General features: G+C 60.0%; 1 protein-coding gene across 2 annotated transcripts, besides 4 other annotated features; it reads left to right on the plus strand.

Moving 5' to 3' along the window:
* Positions 12–306: an enhancer, noted in NCBI's record as "tiled region #5965; HepG2 Activating DNase unmatched - State 1:Tss, and K562 Activating DNase unmatched - State 1:Tss". NCBI's record gives its function as "activates a minimal TATA promoter and a strong SV40 promoter by Sharpr-MPRA in HepG2 and K562 cells {active_cell/tissue: HepG2 | K562}" and the evidence as "EXISTENCE:reporter gene assay evidence [ECO:0000049][PMID:27701403]".
* Positions 12–1071: a biological region, named in NCBI's record as "Sharpr-MPRA regulatory region 5965".
* On the plus strand, positions 234–12604 carry CAPN10 (calpain 10). Of its 2 annotated transcripts, NM_023083.4 has the most exons (12): positions 234–552; positions 2843–2974; positions 4315–4511; positions 5433–5650; positions 7406–7547; positions 8043–8209; positions 8524–8804; positions 9819–10021; positions 10181–10442; positions 11388–11587; positions 11852–11897; positions 12151–12604. In NM_023083.4, the coding sequence occupies exons 1-12, from the start codon at positions 412–414 to the stop codon at positions 12178–12180; spliced, it is 2019 nt and encodes a 672-aa protein (NP_075571.2). In that variant the 5' UTR covers positions 234–411; the 3' UTR covers positions 12181–12604. The 2 variants fall into 2 exon arrangements, with proteins under 2 accessions (NP_075571.2, NP_075573.3); NM_023085.4 differs by lacking the exons at positions 9819–10021; positions 10181–10442.
* Positions 245–1071: an enhancer, noted in NCBI's record as "H3K27ac hESC enhancer chr2:241526162-241526988 (GRCh37/hg19 assembly coordinates)". NCBI's record gives its function as "activates a minimal SCP1, AML or CMV promoter by ChIP-STARR-seq in naive H9 embryonic stem cells {active_cell/tissue: H9 hESC(naive)}" and the evidence as "EXISTENCE:reporter gene assay evidence [ECO:0000049][PMID:30033119]".
* Positions 271–500: a silencer, noted in NCBI's record as "silent region_12521". NCBI's record gives its function as "represses an Ori minimal core promoter by ATAC-STARR-seq in GM12878 lymphoblastoid cells {active_cell/tissue: GM12878}" and the evidence as "EXISTENCE:reporter gene assay evidence [ECO:0000049][PMID:35858748]".

Here is an 18780-nt window from a genome sequence, read left to right on the forward strand (position 1 = left end):
CTGCCGGCCCTCCGGGTATGAGCGGAGGCCGGGATAGCCCTGGGCTCCGCCGCCCCCGGAAGGAAAAAATACAGTGCGGTCCGCCGCCCGACCACGAAAGAGCGGAGCTCGGGAGCCCCGCCCCCTGGGCCTCCGACGTCCGTGGCGCTTTCCGTCGCGCGAGTGCGATTGGGCCGCCTGTCACGTGACCCGAGACCCCACGCCCGGTTGGCTGCCGCCTGGTTACCAATGGGAGACTAGCGGGCCGGCGTACTGGCCTGGTCCAGCACCTGCGGGGCCCTCGGGCTTGGAGGGCTGGGCCGGGCGGGGAACGGGCGGGGCGGGCCGGAGGCGGCGGCGGCTGACTCGCCTTCTCTCCGGGGCTGCGACCCCGAGGCAACCGGCTGCAGATGGGAGCCCGCGGAGCCGAGGATGCGGGCGGGCCGGGGCGCGACGCCGGCGAGGGAGCTGTTCCGGGACGCCGCCTTCCCCGCCGCGGACTCCTCGCTCTTCTGCGACTTGTCTACGCCGCTGGCCCAGTTCCGCGAGGACATCACGTGGAGGCGGCCCCAGGTGGGGCCGTGTGGGGTGCGGTGGGCGCCGTTTCTGGTTTCTGAGATCTCCGCTCCTCGCAGGGAGCGGGGCGGGGTGGGCGGCCAGGGTAGCTCCGAACGCAGGGTCCGCCGTTGTTCTCCTCAGAAGTGGGCGCCCGGCCCCCTCTTTTCGTACCTCCTTCATACCCCCGCCCAGAACGAGCAGGACTCGGCGCTACCCTAAGGACGCTAAACTAGGTCGTGGCCTCCGCCTGCGAGAGCTCCAATCCAGGAGGCTCAGAGCGCTGCGAGAGGCGTTTTAACAGAGCCCCAAACCCCGCCCCACCTGTTTGCTTTCGCCCTGAAGAGCGTTTGTGTCTGCTCCTCCCGCAGAGAGGGCCGCTCGTGCCCCTCTGAAGTGGCTAGGCCGAGCCCACAAAGCAAAGCGTGATAGAATTTCAGTTTTGGATTTTGTGCACCTGCCTTTCCAGTTGTAACACCTAGAAATGGCACCTCCAAGGGATGCCCTGGCCGAGTGCTGTGTTCATATTTTTAGAAATGGTTTATCTGCTGAATAAGACTGCCCAGGGAGCAACCTTGCCCTAAGTGGATGCGGTCTTAGCGGAGACAACTGATGGCCGCCAGTCTTCGAACAGAGCTGGAACTTCTGGGCTCTCGTGACTGAGATGGCTTTGACAGGCCACCTGGTTTCCTTGGACAACACTGAAGGGCCTGGGAGGAGGCAAGGGTCAGACCATGTAGAGCCTTGTCATTGGAATTTGGGTTTTATTTTGTTAAAAGATTGATTTTAGGTGCAGCTGGAGGCCACTAGAGGGTTTTGGTAGAGGAGTGGTTCTCTTGGATGTGTGTTTTTACAAGCTCACTCTTGCTGCTGGGTGGGAAGTGGGTTGTCGGGGCAAGAATGCAAGGGTCCATTGTAGTGGTCCTGGAGAAAGATGAAGGGGCTCAGATTAGCTTGACGACTGTTAGGATGTGGGTTTGGAGTAGATTGGTTTGAGACGTACCTTGCAGGGGGGATCGAGAGGCCATAGTGACTGATTGAAATAGAGGGTGAGGATAGTGGAGGGATCAACATGCCTTCTGGGTTTCTGGCCTGAACAGGTGGGTGGATGGTGGTCCTGGGACAGAGCCTGGGGGTGACCTAGAGTTGGGCTTTGCTCTCACGTCTTCAGGTGGAGCTGTCCTGGAGGCAGGTGGATCTGTCCTGGAGGCAGGTGGATACGGAGCAGGGATAGGCTAGAGGCATTCTTCTGGGAGGCGGAGCATATTAGATGGTTTACAGTCCACAGCCTGGGAGAGTGTCTCGGGGGAGTATCAGTAAAGAAGAAGGGGGCCTTGGGGCTGAGCCTTGAGGAACCCTAACATTTCTTGGGGTCAGGCAGGTGCCCTGACAGATAGACTTGAGAAGCAGCAGGCAGTGAGGGAGAGGACACCCGGGGAGCATGCGGCCTCACAGAAGCTGAGTGGGGACCACCTCAGGGGCAGCAGATGGCTGTTCTGCTGTTGTGAATGCTGCTGAGTAGTTGGGGAAGAGAGTTGGGACCAAGAGAAGCCCAGTGGGTTTGATAACATAGAGGTGACAGCGACATTGATCGAGGCAGTTTAGGGGCCATGATTGGCTCAGAAGCTAGAGGAGCCTGTGTGGAGAGTGAATGGGAAGCAGGTAGTGGGCATGGCAGCTCTTTCAAGAGCTGTAATGAAGAGAAGCCTGAAGGAGACTATGGTGCTGAGAGATAATGTCTTAAAGAACATGGGGGTGGGATTCTGCCCGGGGAGCTGGAAGGGAAGGAGTTGTGAGAGGAGCCCAGGCTCTGAGGGCAGGAGAGAGGGTCAGGTCCAGAAGCAGGAGGCAAGGTCGAAGCTCAGAGGGGTGGGCAAGGGCAGTGTGGATGTTTTGAGTAGACGGGGAGAAAGGGGAAGGTATATGATAGTTAGGGGGTGTGGGAAATGGAGCCTGCTAGAGAAACAGATTTCCAGCAGGATGGAGGACACATTTGAGATTTACCAGCATGAGTAAAAAGTGAAACTTTTCGAAGCCAACATTTAGCTGTTTTGAGAAGGAGCTTGCTAGAGTTTGGGATTTTTCCAGTAAGGAAGGAAGGCACCCCAGAATTAAGCTGGACAGAGGCATTTGAAGCCAGGAGCTGAAGGACACCCGCTGCAGGAAACCACCTTCCTGTCCCTTTTTGGGTAACACTGATGATCGGAAAAGCTCCACCCCAACTCCTGTCATCTAGAGCCTTGGGTTCTTAGTTTGAAGGGTTCCACAGCAGGCATGATCTAACTCTGGACAACTTTCTGTATCTCAGGAGATTTGTGCCACACCCCGGCTGTTTCCAGATGACCCACGGGAAGGGCAGGTGAAGCAGGGGCTGCTGGGGGATTGCTGGTTCCTGTGTGCCTGCGCCGCGCTGCAGAAGAGCAGGCACCTCCTGGACCAGGTGCGGGGCCCCTTCCCTGTGTTTGTCCTGGAGCCGGTTTCTTTTTGCGTTTCTCCAGCCTGCTGAGTACCAGGAGGCCTTGCGAAAGCAGAGCTGTGCCGCAGCCGGATCTCCTGCTGTGTTGGGGGAAGGCAGGAGAGTTCCAAGGCAGAGGCTGAGGACTGCACTCTGTCCCTCTGCTGCAGGGGGGGGTGCCTTGGCCTCGCCAGAAGGCTCCATCAGGGAGGTTCGCCCTGCTCTGTGCTCTCCTGACCCCCGGACTCCATGGAGTCAGATCACCACGTTTAGAATAAAGAGACAAATGTGCCAGCTCACAGGAGGACGGGGCTGGCTGGCAGCCTCTGCCTCAGATCTCTCCTCAGCTAGCTCGCTGGTTTTCTTACAGGTTTTGAATATAAGTTTGCAAAAAGTTATTAAACCTGTTTCTGTGGGTAGACAGATACTCTGGGAGGAGAAGGCCTTCTCAGGTTTTCCTTACCTGGGAGTGTTCACCGTTTTATGCTTGGCTTGTTGCTAAGTGTTGCTGATTAATGCAGCGGCGTCAACAGTGTGACCTCATTCAGAGTTTCACTCATGTCCCAGGCCCCATGGTAAGCGTGTCACAGTCACTGGCTTTCAGACACATGGTCTTACCAGCTTTGACTTTTTTTTTAAACGAGAGTGCTAAAATCACTGCCATTGTGTTTCTGGCCGTAAAGTGGCAGAGCCAGGACCGCACCAGGTGCCTGGTGCCCAGCCTGCACTCCCCCGATGCTGGGTCAGAATGCTTACCCCTGAAGGAGCCCTGCGGTGGACGCTGTGGGTGCAAGCAGCTGGCCCAGTGTCGGGGCGCCAGGCTCCCAGCAGCAGGAGGGGCTGCTGTTCCTGTGGTGACGTGTTGCTTGCAGCCAGCTCGGTCAAGAACTGGGTCACTCATGCCCTTGAATGTCACATTTGTTTTGGCTTCAGGTCAGATGCTTTTAGTGAGGGCAGCAGAGTGTGTCCCGGGATATGTGGCTCCCTCGGTGTGGTCCTCAAGTTTTGCAATGAGAGGTCTGTTAATTTCATGTGGGTGATGCAGCCCTGTGCAGGCGCCGACATCCAGGTGTGCCGAAGAGTTCTCTGCGACATCCAGGTGTGCCGTAGAGTTCTCTGCGACATCCAGGTGTGCCGTAGAGTTCTCTGCGACATCCAGGTGTGCCGTAGAGTTCTCTGCGACATCCAGGTGTGCGTTAGAGTTCTCTGCAGACCGCGGTGCCTGTGGAGCACTCAGCTGTGGCCACACCGCGGCCGGGACACTGGAGTAGCGCCGGGTGGTGCTTATATCACGCTCGCCTTTTGCTTCTCCCTGTGCATGGCAGGTCATTCCTCCGGGACAGCCGAGCTGGGCCGACCAGGAGTACCGGGGCTCCTTCACCTGTCGCATTTGGCAGTTTGGACGCTGGGTGGAGGTGACCACAGATGACCGCCTGCCGTGCCTTGCAGGGAGACTCTGTTTCTCCCGCTGCCAGAGGGAGGATGTGTTCTGGCTCCCCTTACTGGAAAAGGTCTACGCCAAGTGCGTGTGCTGGGGGCTGAAGGGCCTGGCCTGGGGCAAGTGGGAGCTGCCACTACCATGGGCTGCCCCAGGAGGGTCTCTGCTCACTCTGGGCTGCAGAGCCCCCTTCAGTTCTGAGGGTCTGGCAGCTCATTCTGTGAGTCAGGCTGACAGGCCAGGTGCAGAGATTCTTCTTTTGGGCCTGTGGATTGCCCACTCCCTGCTTTCCCTTCCCTTGTTCCAAAGCCCAGCGTGGAGTCGTTCTCCACAGAGAACATGTGTGCCGTCCTCCTTATTTTATCGGCCCCAGCAAGAAAGATGCTTCTTTATATTTGTTGTGGAGTGGTTGGGACAGGCAGACTCATTGTGTAGTCGTTGGGGAGGAATGAGGCTACCCCAGCATACCAACACTTGTGTATCACGGTGCTTGCTGGCTCAGGGGACCAGGACCCTCACCATGAGTCATAATTGAATAGCCTTCCCTCTTAGAATGCATTTGTCTTCTTGCCAAAGGCAACTGGACTGACAGGCAGGCAGGGAAGCTGGTGAACATGGGAAGGCTGGCTGGTGACATCAGTGCCCAGTGAGCCCTTCCATCCCAAGGGCTGTTTTAGGAAAAGCAGGGTTGGAGCTTGAGAGCCAAGGGATGTGGGCATCCATAGCTTCCACGCCTCCTGCCCTGCTCCTGTGCCCACACCGGATGCCAGAGAGTTTCTGTGTGTGGGCAGAGGACTGCAGGGCGCTCACGCTTGCTGTGAAGTAAGGCGTTTGAAGGTGAGGCTAAGCCTTGACTTGGTGAGGATGAGGAAGAAGGCAGAGGGGAGTAAAGAGGTGGGATTGAGGCAGCGGTTGGACGATTTGGGGTGCTACAGACCATGGGAATCAGAGAGGGGGCCATGCTCAATGCCAGAGGCTCACTCCCATGGTGATTGTGTCCCCTAGGGTCCATGGGTCCTACGAGCACCTGTGGGCCGGGCAGGTGGCGGATGCCCTGGTGGACCTGACCGGCGGCCTGGCAGAAAGATGGAACCTGAAGGGCGTAGCAGGAAGCGGAGGCCAGCAGGACAGGCCAGGCCGCTGGGAGCACAGGACTTGTCGGCAGCTGCTCCACCTGAAGGACCAGTGTCTGATCAGCTGCTGCGTGCTCAGCCCCAGAGCAGGTGAGGCACGTGGCCAGCATGGGAGGGCTGCAGCCAGCGTGCCCCCCACTGCCAGGCCTCAGGCACACTGTAGCTTTTTATGTGACTGGCTACACAGCCCTGTCAGGACTAAGTGGGAAGAAGTAAGCTTGTTCTCAAGGGTGGTGTCCTCAGTTTGTGACCTTCCCCTACTGTCCTCTTCCAGAGGGACGTGGCCCTTCTCTCCCCTGACCAGTCCTTTCCACTAGTGCGAGGCAGGAAGAGGTGGCACCGAGTCAAAGCCCACTGTCTGTGCCATCCCTGGCCCAGCTGGCAACCTGGCAAAATCAAAACCTGTTTTTTATTTTAGTGATAGATAACATTCGTTAAAAACAGTTTGTCTCCAAAAAATGAAAGGGGCCAGGTGTGGTGGCTCACACCTGTAATCCCAGAACTTTGGGAGGCTGAGGTGGGAGTATCGCTGGAGCCCAGGAGTTCAAGAGACCCGCCTGGGCAACATGGCAAGATCTCATCTCTACAAAAAATGAAGGAAAAAAATCACTTAGATGGAACCACATGTGACTTTTGAGTGCGCTCTCAGTTTTCCATGAGCACGCACGGTTTACGTGTTCCCTTCCGCACCGCTTCTCACACTGCCACACACGCGCTGTCAAATGTTCGCCCCATGAGCGGGTTTGCCACAGTCTCTTAATCATTCCCCTGATGTTGGATATTAAGATCTCTCTGGTTTTATATAATTATAAGCAGTATCAATGAACATCTTTATCATTTTTTTCATACTTAGGATTATTTTAAAAATATGGGTTAAAGAATATGAATATCACAGTAAACTGAAACAAGTTGTCATAGGCCTTGGTCTGGGTCCCCCATAAGCAGACCCTGAGATGAGGTTCAGGAGCACGTTGAGAGGTTCAGAGAGCCTGGAGGGCGTGTACTCCCCGCCAGCCCCGCTGGGGTGCCAGGAAGGACGCTGGCCTCAGAGCCTCCCACCTGGGAGTGAGGGCGCTGGTCTGGTGGGCATTAGCTCGGGGAGCTGTTGGTTTTGGGTGCTCCAGGGTGGGGTAGCGCTAAGTCCTAGCACTTCAGGCTTTAGAGGAAGCCCCCAGGCAGAGAGAGATGGCAGCTGGCACTGACTGGAGGTGCATTGGAGCCTGCTGAGGTGGCAAGGGGCCGCGGCGTGGGCGAGACTGAAGTCCTTCCAGGAGACCCTCCTCTCTAGACCGTTGCCCCGCCACAGATGTGGCCTTCCTCTCTGTTTGGCTCTTTCTTTTCTATGCCCATCTGTCTCAAGGTCTCTGGCCAGGTGGAGCTGTTGCCCCCCTGGGCCTCCATGCCTCCAGTGGGCTTCTAGCCAGGGCACTATCTGAATGTCCTACCTCTAGCAGGCTTTGCCAAGAGAAACACTCTCTAGATTTCTGGCAGTTGCAGATGCATCTGTGCAGCATGTTTGAGAACTGGTGCTGTGCCAGGCATCGTGCACAGATGGGTACGGACGATGACTGAGGCCTAGAGAAGGGGATGACTTACCCAGCACCAGACCCGGATGGCAGCCGAGTCAGGCCCCGTGTGCTTGCTCCTGGAGATGCTCCTGAGCTGATGGGTCACAGCTGCTAAGAAAGGAGCTCTCGTGGTCCATGGGGATCTGGGGTCTCCCGTGTAGCCATAGTGGGGTGGGCTGGAGCATCTCCAGAGGAGGAGGCAGAGGCCTGTGTGTCCTTGTCAGTTTGGGACTCCATGGTGCCCTTCCTGCCTGTGCCTGCGCCATTCCTCATGCAGGTGCCCGGGAGCTGGGGGAGTTCCATGCCTTCATTGTCTCGGACCTGCGGGAGCTCCAGGGTCAGGCGGGCCAGTGCATCCTGCTGCTGCGGATCCAGAACCCCTGGGGCCGGCGGTGCTGGCAGGGGCTCTGGAGAGAGGGGTGAGTGCTGGGGCCTGGACCATGCTGCTGTCGGGAGGGGGGCCCAGTGCCAGTCTGGCCTGTGTCCTGGTCACCTTCAGCTGTCAGGACTGTACTTGGCTGTCTCCAGCAAGGCCCCTGAGTCCCTGCTCTCGTGACACCATGCTTGTCTTGGCTCCAGGCAATCCTTGTGAGGCCTGGGACCAAGGTGGCCATTGGGCCTGGGGTTTCAATAGGGCAGACATCATCACGGGCTCGGGCAGCAGTCCTGGGAAGACGCATCCAGAGGCGTGAAGTTCCTCTGGGAAAAGAGAGGGCTCCAGGGTGGCCGCTGCCCAGAAGGCCCTGTGCTGCAGAGCTGCTTCGGGTGTGGGAGGGGCTGCAGAGCTGGGGCACGGGGTTGCTGGCAGGAACTCAGGGCTCTCTGGGTCCCCTCCAGGCTTCCCCCCAGCCTGCCGGCAAGTTGACACTACCAGTTCTCGGGAGGGGCTTCTGCTGAGATGAGGTTTCTTCCAGGGGTGAAGGGTGGAGCCAGGTAGATGCAGCGGTAGCATCTGAGCTCCTGTCCCAGCTCCAGGAAGGGGAGTTCTGGGTGGAGGAGGAGGAGTTCCTCAGGGAGTTTGACGAGCTCACCGTTGGCTACCCGGTCACGGAGGCCGGCCACCTGCAGAGCCTCTACACAGGTAGTGCCCCGAGGGGCTGTGCTGGGCACGTGCTCTGCCTGCCGAAGTGAGGAGGCTGGGCAGGTGCCTGGGTTCCCCCTGCCCAGGCCCAGTTTGGTTCTCTTCAGCGTGGAGAGATGATTCTGTCCCAGGAGCCGGGAGGAGGGTGATGATTCTGTCCCAGGAGCTGGGAGGAGGGTGGGCTTGTGGGAGGGGCTGGCTCTGTCTGTGGCCGTAGCTGCTGCTTAGACCCTGCCAGGGTTCATGAGGCCACCATGGCGGGAGGCCAGCGAGGAGCCGTGTCCCACAGCTGATGCCTGGTGTTTTCTCACTAGAGAGGCTGCTCTGCCATACGCGGGCGCTGCCTGGGGCCTGGGTCAAGGGCCAGTCAGCAGGAGGCTGCCGGAACAACAGCGGCTTTCCCAGCAACCCCAAATTCTGGCTGCGGGTCTCAGAACCGAGTGAGGTGTACATTGCCGTCCTGCAGAGATCCAGGCTGCACGCGGCGGACTGGGCAGGCCGGGCCCGGGCACTGGTGGGTGACAGTCATACTTCGTGGAGCCCAGCGAGCATCCCGGGCAAGCACTACCAGGCTGTGGGTCTGCACCTCTGGAAGGTAACTCAGCCCCGTCTGGCTCACGCTCGGTTCAGCAGGTGGTGTGGAGGCCCATGGAGGTCTGGGTTCTAGGACTGGCTCTGCCGGGACACATGTGACTCTGCCACGGGCCCCACCAGTCTCCCCCCTCCTTGGGCTGTTGCACGGGGTTGACGTCTGCTGGTGCTCCCAGACCCGGCTCTGACCTGAGACTGCAGGTCTTTCTGCCTTGCCGTGTGCCTCATTGGCCAAAGGAAAGCAACAGAGTCTGCAGCCAGGGCAGGACCCGCAGGAGGGGCCTGGACCCGGGGGGCTCCTGGCAGCGCCGTGCCTTTCTGAGGCAAGGAGGTAGAGCCAGCGGCTGAGGACCTGTCAGGGCCAGTCCCAGCTCTGCAGCTTGCTGTGTGACCTGGCACACATCCTCTCCCTGCCTCCCTCAGTCTCTTCCCCTGCAAGACGGGGTCCTGACACGGATCTCATGGGATTGCTCTGAGGCCCAGGCAGTCCCAGGCTCAACCACTGGTTCACAAAGTGTGTTGTTTCCAGGAAGAACAGATGGGGGCGCCTGAGGGCAAAGGGCCTGAGTGTGGGTCGAGGATATGCCGGCTGCTCGCTCAGGGGCTGGGTTTTCATCTTGTGTGTCTTGACAGGGTGTGACACTTGGCACCACACTGTTCCCTGTCCCTTCATGGATGTGGCCCACATGATGTTCCTTTCCTCTTGCAAAAGAAGTTGCTGGAAGGCCCACTGTCCAGCAGCCCCCAGGTTGCCTGGGCCACGGTGCCTTTGTGGGCCCAGCTACAAGGAGGACTTGCAGGCTCGTGTCTGGGACAGATACTGGCGCCAGGGCCAAGTGAAGCCCGGGATTGGTGGGCATCTCTAGCTGGTCCCTGAGAGAGGGTGGAGGGTGCTGACAGGCCTTGGCGCTTTCATCTGTCAACTCCAGAGGCCCTTGTGCTTGCAGCAGGGAGGTCAAGGCCAGGGCGTCTGACCCCGGCCGCTCCTCCACACTGAGCCTCCTGCACGTGCTCACAGGTAGAGAAGCGGCGGGTCAATCTGCCTAGGGTCCTGTCCATGCCCCCCGTGGCTGGCACCGCGTGCCATGCATACGACCGGGAGGTCCACCTGCGTTGTGAGCTCTCACCGGGCTACTACCTGGCTGTCCCCAGCACCTTCCTGAAGGACGCGCCAGGGGAGTTCCTGCTCCGAGTCTTCTCTACCGGGCGAGTCTCCCTTAGGTGAGAGGAACCGCGCAGTGCTGCTGGCTCTCCGAGGCCACAGGCCCTTCCAAGGCAGGATTTGGGCACTTTCCCTCTGTGGTTGGCAGGTGTCCATGTGGGAACTGAGGCCACCGGGAACCTGCTGCCAGCGCCCTCCCATGTTTGTCTTCTTGGCAGCGCCATCAGGGCAGTGGCCAAGAACACCACCCCCGGGGCAGCCCTGCCTGCGGGGGAGTGGGGGACCGTGCAGCTACGGGGTTCTTGGAGAGTCGGCCAGACGGCGGGGGGCAGCAGGAACTTTGCCTCATACCCCACCAACCCCTGCTTCCCCTTCTCGGTCCCCGAGGGCCCTGGCCCCCGCTGCGTCCGCATCACTCTGCATCAGCACTGCCGGCCCAGTGACACCGAGTTCCACCCCATCGGCTTCCATATCTTCCAGGCAAGCTCCTTGCCCCAGGGAGGGAGGGGGAGCAGAAGGGGCCCTCAGAGAATTTGCATCTTGGCCTCCATTGTCCCAACAGAGGGCTCTGGGCTCAGTCACTTGGGCTCCCCCTGCCCTTCGAGGCGCTGCCTAGAACCCGCACAGGGCCCTCTCCCATCTCCAACCTCTCAGAGGCAAGGCCGAAGATGGCCTCTGGAAGGGCCGGGGGCCTGGGAGGTGGGCAGGGCTGATCCAGGCAGGGCAGGTTTCCAGAGGAGGTGGTGAGTGGGGAGGAAGGGAGAAGTTTGGAGAGGACAGGAGGCCGAGGTTGAGACCAGCGGGGGTGGGTCGAGCCCTGGCTTGGGAACGCAGGGGGCTGATGGACTCAGGAGTGAGAGGAGGGGAGGCCCAGGCTGGCTGGCCACAGCAGCCCCTCGGGTGTGAGGAAGTCCACAGTCACTGAGCTCAGCCAGCAGCCCCTTGTCCACTTACCCTGACTCAGAATGACTGTGTCCCAAGGTTCATTCTCTGCAGACATGTGTCCCCTGGAATGCAGGGGCCCTGACGAGGAAGGCACTGCAACCCTCGGTTCACAGTGGGCTGCCTGGGGACCCTTGGACCCTCGCTGTTTGCCCTGGGCCACCGGCTCAGGTCCCCTAGAGCTCTGAGGAAAACACATGCCAGGGCCAGTGGGAGCCCTTGGGGCGGGCTGGGCAGTCACAGGTGTTAAAGCCCCTGATGATGTGACAGGCCTCCAGGCGGGGGCCCCACTGCCGGCACCTTCTGGCAAGGGTGGCCAGGCCTTGGTGAGGAGGCGAGTCCAGTGTCCAGGCCTGGCAGCCCCTCCTCAGAGAAGGGGCTGTATGTGACTCAAGAGGGCCAAGGGCATCCGAGCAGATGGCCCTGGGCTGGGCTCCCTACCCCAAGGCTGGCCCCCTCAGTCTGAGCCTGCGCTTTCCTCAGGTCCCAGAGGGTGGAAGGAGCCAGGACGCACCCCCACTGCTGCTGCAGGAGCCGCTGCTGAGCTGCGTGCCACATCGCTACGCCCAGGAGGTGAGCCGGCTCTGCCTCCTGCCTGCGGGCACCTACAAGGTTGTGCCCTCCACCTACCTGCCGGACACAGAGGGGGCCTTCACAGTGACCATCGCAACCAGGATTGACAGGTGGGGCTCTGGGACTTGGGGGCGGCCAGCTGGAGGCTGGGGTGCTGGAGTCTTAGTGCTCGCCTGTCCCCCCACGTCTCCTGCCTGCCCCTCACCCTCAAGCCCCTATCTGTCCTGGCAGACCAGGGCTGTCCTGCCTACCTGGGGACCCTTCCTTGCTGGTCTGAGCCTGGAAGGAGAGTCTAGTGGGAGGTGGGCCAGGAGCACACAGCCACTTGTGTGACAAGTGCAGTCTGGGAGCGCTGATCTGGTGTCTCTCCACAGGCCATCCATTCACAGCCAGGAGATGCTGGGCCAGTTCCTCCAAGAGGTGTGTATGCAGCCCCGCCAGCCCGGCTCACCTGCCTGGGGCTGCCTGGTGGCCTAGGGTCTACCTGCAACCTCAGGCAGGTGGTTTCTGCCTGGGACGTGAGGTGCCCTTGACTCTTCCTGTGAGAGCCCCGGGCGGTGCCTTGAAGGGCAGGGGGAGCTGAGGCTGCGTCCCATTCCCTGGCTGCACTCGGGGTGGGGTGTGAGAAGGGGCGAGTGCCACCGCTGCCCGGGCCCCCCATCTGTCTTTGCAGGTCTCCATCATGGCAGTGATGAAAACCTAACAGGGTGGCCCCCTGTGCCAGCTCAGGTGACTGGAGCCCGAGGGCCTGACAGGTTCCCAGCAGCTGGGCCGGCCAGCCTTGCACTGTGGGGGCTGGTCCTGAGTCTTGGCCTGCCTCCCAGCCCTGCCAGGAGGCTGCGGCCTAGGGGTCCACGGGAAGCCTCCGTCAGGAGAGACGCAGCCCTGGGGGCCAGCTGGTGCTGCAAGGAAGGGTGGGAAGCTTGCTGGCTTCTGTTGCGCCACTGAGACGGCAGAGACCCCAGGATCCCAGAGCTTCCCAGGATCCCTCCCAGATCCTCTGCTGACTCCATATGGAGGCCTCACACCCAGAGGGTAGGGCAGCAGATCTTCTTTATAACTATTTATTGTTCGAATCACTTTTAGGATGTAACTTTATAAATAAACATGAGCGCTGATGATTTGCAGATCAGTCTTGCTCCAGGTAGTTCCAGGCTGTGCCTGCTCTTGCCAAGCAGGCTGTGGGGAGGGCTGGGTGCCTGCCGAGATGGTGAGGATGAGGATGGCCTCTGGAGGGGCTGGGGGCCTGGGAGGTGGGCAGAGCCAACCCAGGCAGGGCAGGTTTCAGGGGGAGATGGTGAGTGGGGAGGAGGGGAGAAGTTTGGAGGGGCGGGCCCAGGGCATGCCCCAGGCCAGGGGGCTGAGGTTGAGGCTGGCCGGGGCAGGTCAAGCCCTGGTCTTGGGGGACACAGACTGATAGACTGGGGAGTGAGGGGTGGGGAGAGCCAGCGAAGGCACTGCCAAGGCTGTGGCGAAGAAGGACATCTCGGAAACGGGTGTTAGAACCGGAGTTGCGCAGAGGGAGGAACCCCAGGTTCACATGGACTGGGAGCCTTGGATCTGGACGGCTCCTCTGCCTCCAGCCAGGGTTCACCTGCGCAGTGTCCTAGGATTGTTTATTTCCCCAGGCCTCTCTCCCTCGTCCCTCACACCAAATGCTGTGATGAGAGCTGTAGTGTCACTGAACGGTGCAGAAGACAGTTCCAGACATGGGTGGGGAGGGCTGTCACTAAGCCCTTTTGTTTTAGAGACAGGGTCTTGCTCTGTTGCTCAGGCTGGAGTGCAGTGGCATGATCATAGCTCACTGCAGCCTCGACCTTCTGGGCTCAGGTGATCCTCCCTCTTCAGCCTCCCAGGTGGGTAGGAAAACAGGCGCACACTCCATGCCTGGTTAGTTTTTTCAAGTTTTGAATGCTTAGGGGTCTTAGTATGTGGTTGCCTAGGCTGGCCTCAGTGATCCTCCTGCCTTGGTCTCCCAAAGCACTAAGATTGCAGGCATGACCGCCAACCCCAGCTCTAATCCCTTTTAAATTCCATTCGCTTCCTGAGTCCCTTTGTGCCTGGGGAGACCCCGTGTATTGGTCCTTTTTCACATTGCTGTAAACAACTCTGAGACTGGTAATTTATAAAGAAAAGAGGTTTGATTGCCTCAGTTCCGAAGACTGTACAGGAAGCATGGCTGGGGAGGCCTCAGGAAACTTAGAATCATGGCGGAGGGAAAGCAGGCAGTCTGCAGGTGTCTGGAGAAGGAGGAAGAGAGCGAAGGGGAGGTGCTGTGCACTTTTAAATGACCAGATCTTAGGAGAACTCACTATCACCAAAACAGCAAGGGGGATATCCGCTCCCATGATCCAATCATCTCCCACCAGGCTCCTCCAACACTGGGGATTATAATTCGACATGAGATTTGGGCAGGAACACAAATTCAAACCATAGCACCCAGTGAGCCTGATTTGGGCCTTGCTGCCGGATCACGACCATCTCTGGAGTCCTGGTGTCTGTTCCCACTGGGACCTGTGCCGCTGTCCCCCTCTCCACGCCCTGGCCACGCCAAGCCACCCTCCTGACTCACCCACAGGAAGCTGCCCTGGCCCTGGAGCCTGCCCCGTGAGCCCCTCTGCTTGCTGGTTCAATGGCCCTCCAGCAGCAGTGGCTGTGGCAGCTGGGTTCTCGGCATCTTCAGACACGGATTCTTGAGCAGCAGGATGGGGCTCCATCTCCCTGCGTGCAGAGCCTGCCACAGATCTCCCTCATCCACTGGCTTCTGTGCTGACTTCGGATGAAGCCAGTGGTGCCGCCTATTGGGGTACAGCAACTCAGGGCGAACAGTGAGGGGCGGCTCACCAAAGAAATACCCCGCAGGGCAGTGCCCAAGCCAGAGGCTTGAGCTGGGTCGGAGCTGCCCTAGATCCCTGGGTTTGTGGGCGGACAGGTCCTGTGCAGGGCGCCTGATGGTGCAGGTTGAGGTGGGACAGTTGGGGTCAAGGTATTTCTCAGGCACAGTGCCTATGAAGGGAAGACAGTTGCAGGGACTGTGTCCATGTCAGGATAGACTGGTGGGGACCCCGTGAAGAGTTCTGGAGCAAACCCTGCCTGCAGGGCCCCACCTGGGCTGGCCAGGCCCTTATGTTGAGCATCCCTTCCCCCAGGCCCTCAGGAGCCACTGTCCCCGAGGCAGGCCCTGAAGGTGGCGGCCACACCCTCCTGCTGGGCAGCTCTGCCCAAAGGCCACAGCCAGGACCTGCTTCCCGCGTCCCAGGCTACTGCCTGAGAGGAGGCCTCGAAAGCGCAGGGTTCCGTGACTTTAGAGGCCATGGTTGGCACCCATCATCGCCCCAGTGTAGATTGGCTCCACTCGACCTGGCTGCTTTGGCCATTTGGTCTACCAGCTGGAACCATGTTCCTGGGTGTGGAAAACGCTCCCTCCGAAGCCTGCGGAGAGCCCTGAGGCCTTGTGCTTCCTTCTGATGGGAGGTTCCAGATGCAGTTGGAGGGGATGTCTGGCAGGGCTCTAACCCCCAGCCAACCTAAACATTTCTGGTGCAGAAGGCCCCGGCCTGGTGTTGTTTGTCCCTGGCTGCCTCCTGCTCTGACACCATCAGCATCCTGTTGCCAAGGTCATGGATCAGTGCGGTGCTCTTCAGGGTGTCCGGCCAGCTGGGGTCTCTGTCCTGTATTCCGGCAGAGGCCCCAGGAGAAACAGCAAATGCCTTTGTCCATTCCATACAAATTTCATATAAATGTGAGCAGCTTCTGATCTTCCGTGGCGTATTCGTCCAGTTGATGGCCAACCCTGGGTACCTGGACCTCCAGGACCTGCTGCACTGGGCTGCCCCTCGGCTGTGTGTGCACTCGCCACGTGGCCCTCCAGGAATCCCATCCCACGGGGCCACACTGAACCAAATGGAGAGAGCAGGGCCACCACCCTCTCTCCGCATGCCACGGCTGCTCTGGGACCCGGGCAGGAGGGGACAGTCTTGGCCTTCCAGTGTCCCTCTTGGCCTTCCCACGGCCATCTCTACCCCAAGGATGCAGCAGAGATATCGGTCGCTCCCCAGGTGTCAATCCCAGTCACAGGCTCAGAGACCGGGACATGGCCCCGGGTGGGTCTGTAGGCCCTGTGGGCTCATGTGAGCTGGTCCTGGGCAGGACTCCATTATTAACTGCCTGTGATGTGTCCCACTGTCATGGAGCCCTGGTGACTCTTGGGGACCAGCATCAGCTTGGGGCCTGTGTGCTCAGTGGCTCCCAGATGCCTGGATATTCTCTTCCTGGTGCACATAGTCCCCGGGGAGGTCCTTGTCATGCACACTTGCTGATGTGGGGAGTGTCCTTCATCTTGCAGGCCTGGCCACCTCTTCAGTCAGCAGATACCTGGGCTGAAAACCGACTCGGGCAGTGTGGGCCCAACTGGGGCTCTATCGGAGTGACCACCCTCAGCCCTCCTGGACCCCTCTGCCGGCTCCACCTGAGCGCTGCCCTCGCTGGCAGCCCTGCCTTGCTCTGCTGCCATTCCGTAAGCCCTGCAGGCAGGCCCCTTGGCGCCCTTCAGCCGTGTTCATGATTGTCTCCTGGCCTCTGCTGTTTAGAGGTCTAATGCCCTCCGCCCCCGGCGAGCCAAACCCAGTGATGGTGGTTCCTGCCACCAGCTTCCTGTGGCACCGCTGCCACTCCCGCCAGGCTCCTGGGGCACCGCCACCACTCCCGCCAGGCTCCTGGGGCACCGCCGGCCACTCCCGCCAGGCTCCTGGGGCACCGCCGCCCACTCCCTCCAGGCTCCTGGGGCACCGCCGCCACTCCCGCCAGGCTCCTGGGGCACCGCCGCCACTCCTGCCAGCCTCCTGCGGCACAGCTGCCACTCCCTATTAACCAGCATGGCACAGGTGAGCGGTGTGACCTTGGTCTTCCCAGGGAACCAGTGCTTGGCAGCTCACACCACACACGCCTACGCCTACCCTCCACCAGCCACAGCAGTTGTGGCATCTCTACCCTGCCCAGCAAAAGTGGAAGTGTTGCCTGTGCCGCTAGGAACCTCCAGGTTTGCTCCACCTCCAGGGGCCTTGCCAGGGTGTCAAACCTGTGTCTCGGGACACTGCTGTTAGGTCTCCAGCTTCCCTATCAGGCGCCTCAGCACCCAGTCCTACCAGTGCTCCCGCCTCCCGTCCCCAGCTGGCTGGGCCTGCAGCCCCCTCCTGTGCCCCGAGCTGGCCGGGCCCGCAGCCCACTCCCTGGTCACTGGATGTTGCTGACACTTCACTCGGTCAGAGCCCTAGCACCCAAGGGGGGCCAGGGCCTGACGGGGGTGGAGCGAGGGGTGGGCCGCGTCTGTGCAGGCTCAGAAGCTTCCTAAGAGGCTGGAGAGTGGAACCTTCAGGCACCACGCACTGCCTCCTCCCTGCCCACGGTCCTGGTTTCTCCAGATGGGGCCTTGGCCTTGGCTAGGTGTTGATCAGGAGCTGGGAGTGCTGCGCCCCGCCCAACTTCTCCAAACTCCAGCCAGGGCACCTCAGTGAGGCCTCAGCCACCTGCGCCTTATTTGCTTCCTCCTTGGAGGCCCTCGTGTCTGTTCATTCATCAAACAGCAGCTGGGGCCCCCAGCAGACCCCCTTCCCCAACTTTCCCACTGGACACTGGAACCAGTTTCACAACTGGACTGGACAGGACGACCACCTTGTGCCAGGCGCCAGCTATCTCCCCTGACCAGTGATGGGTCCTCATTGCCCGTGGGCCGTGAGTGACCCAGTTCCAAATCCCAAATTAGTGACTCTCTTCTCCAATGGGGGTTGGATTCTCCAGAAGCAGAGGCAGACATAGAATTTGGGTGCAAGGTATTTCGGAGGGAAGGTGGAAGAGGTGGGGTTGGTGAGGGAGAAGCCTGGAGTGTCGGTGGCCGGGGTGCCCCCACCTGGCTGAAACGCCTGGTCTTTGTGCCCTGCCTGGCTCAGCCTCCCCAGGCAGACTACCCCATGGCATCCCTGGACAAGGCTGCCCCCAAGAACGCTGCCCACAGCCCAGCCATGGGCCTTCCCTTGGGGCTACCGCCCCGGCTCACACCTGCTGGCCAGCGTATTTACTCCTTGCTGGCTGCACCCTCTCAGCAGTGGCTGTGTAGACCATAACCCTGGGAACACCTGCGGGGAGAAGCGCCCTTGGCCTGGCGGCTTGGGGGAGACACCTGGGGTGTCAGGAGGGAAGGAAGGCAAGCAGGGGTGAGGCACTGTGGGACTTTTCCTGCTTTCTGGGCCAGTGGCCACAGGCCACCCAGTGACATTTCTCTCTCAGCGTCTGCTGGGGTGGACTCTGCAGCGGCTGCAGCCAGCCTGGATCGGCTCCTCGCACAGCTCTGCTTGAGGGTGAAGGCCATCTAGAAACCCTCAGTCCCCTCTCAGCCTCAGAGCTGATAGCGCTGCCTGACCATCAGCAAGCTTGTAATCAGCACCACCTCCAGCATGCCTGCTCCTGGATCTCCGTGAGGCTCCCCTGCCTGTGTCACCCAGGGGCCTCTAGGGGTGCTCTGGAGCTGGGAGCCACTGTCCAGCACTTCCTGCCCTCTCCGGCCTCTCTTGGCTGTCTGCCAAGCAGTCACTCAGTCTCCTATTGACCACTCGTTTTGCCGCAAGGCTGCTGGTTTACGTGAAAATAGAGAAAGCCAAAGAGTTTCCTCACCCCTGTAAGATTTACTGGCTCTTCTGGCATTGCACCTGCCTGAGTTCCTTGGTGGGGCCCCTCTTTGAGTTCCTTTGGGCTGCTGTAACAAAGCACCATAGCCTGGGCAGCTCGTAAACAGTGGAAATGCGTTGCTCTTTGTTCTGGAGGCTGCAAGTCCAAGATTGAGGCACTGGAAGACCTGGTGCCTGGTGAGGACCTGCTTCCTGGTCCAGAGACAGCACCTTCTCTCTGTGTCCTGATGTGGTGGAAGGGCAAAGGAACTCCCTGGGGCCCGTTTTATGTGGGCACTCATCCCATTCGTGACGCCTCTGCCTTCATGACCTCATCACCTACCAGAGGTCCCCACCTTTTCATTCCTCACCTTGGGGATGAGGACTTCAGTATGTGAATTTCGGGGACATAAATGTGTCATCTATAGAAGGGCCCATCTCTTACACAAATGCTGGGTCCCCAGTGGCCTGTGTCCTAGCAAATGAGAGCCACCCTGAAAAATAAAATCCTGTCTCCCCAACGCCAGCCCTGGCAAGGCACCCAGAACTCTCCGGAATGCTTGAAGGCAGGGCCTGGCCTTTCCATGGGGTCCAGGGCTGTGGGGTCCCTGGCGGTACTGTGGGCCTGCAGAGTGGGGCATGTG

The sequence above is a fragment of the Homo sapiens genome, chromosome 2 (genome assembly GCF_000001405.40).
Source record: "Homo sapiens chromosome 2, GRCh38.p14 Primary Assembly".
Lineage (NCBI taxonomy): Eukaryota > Metazoa > Chordata > Mammalia > Primates > Hominidae > Homo > Homo sapiens.

Excerpts from the sequence above, each read along its gene's own strand:
- CAPN10 (NM_023083.4), top strand. The coding sequence starts at position 412 with ATGCGGGCGGGCCGGGGCGCGACGCCGGCGAGGGAGCTGTTCCGGGAC. Across the intron at positions 553-2,842 it reads TCACGTGGAGGCGGCCCCAG|GAGATTTGTGCCACACCCCG; the intron begins GTGGGGCCGTGT and ends TCTGTATCTCAG. Across the intron at positions 8,210-8,523 it reads CCTGCAGAGCCTCTACACAG|AGAGGCTGCTCTGCCATACG; the intron begins GTAGTGCCCCGA and ends TTTTCTCACTAG.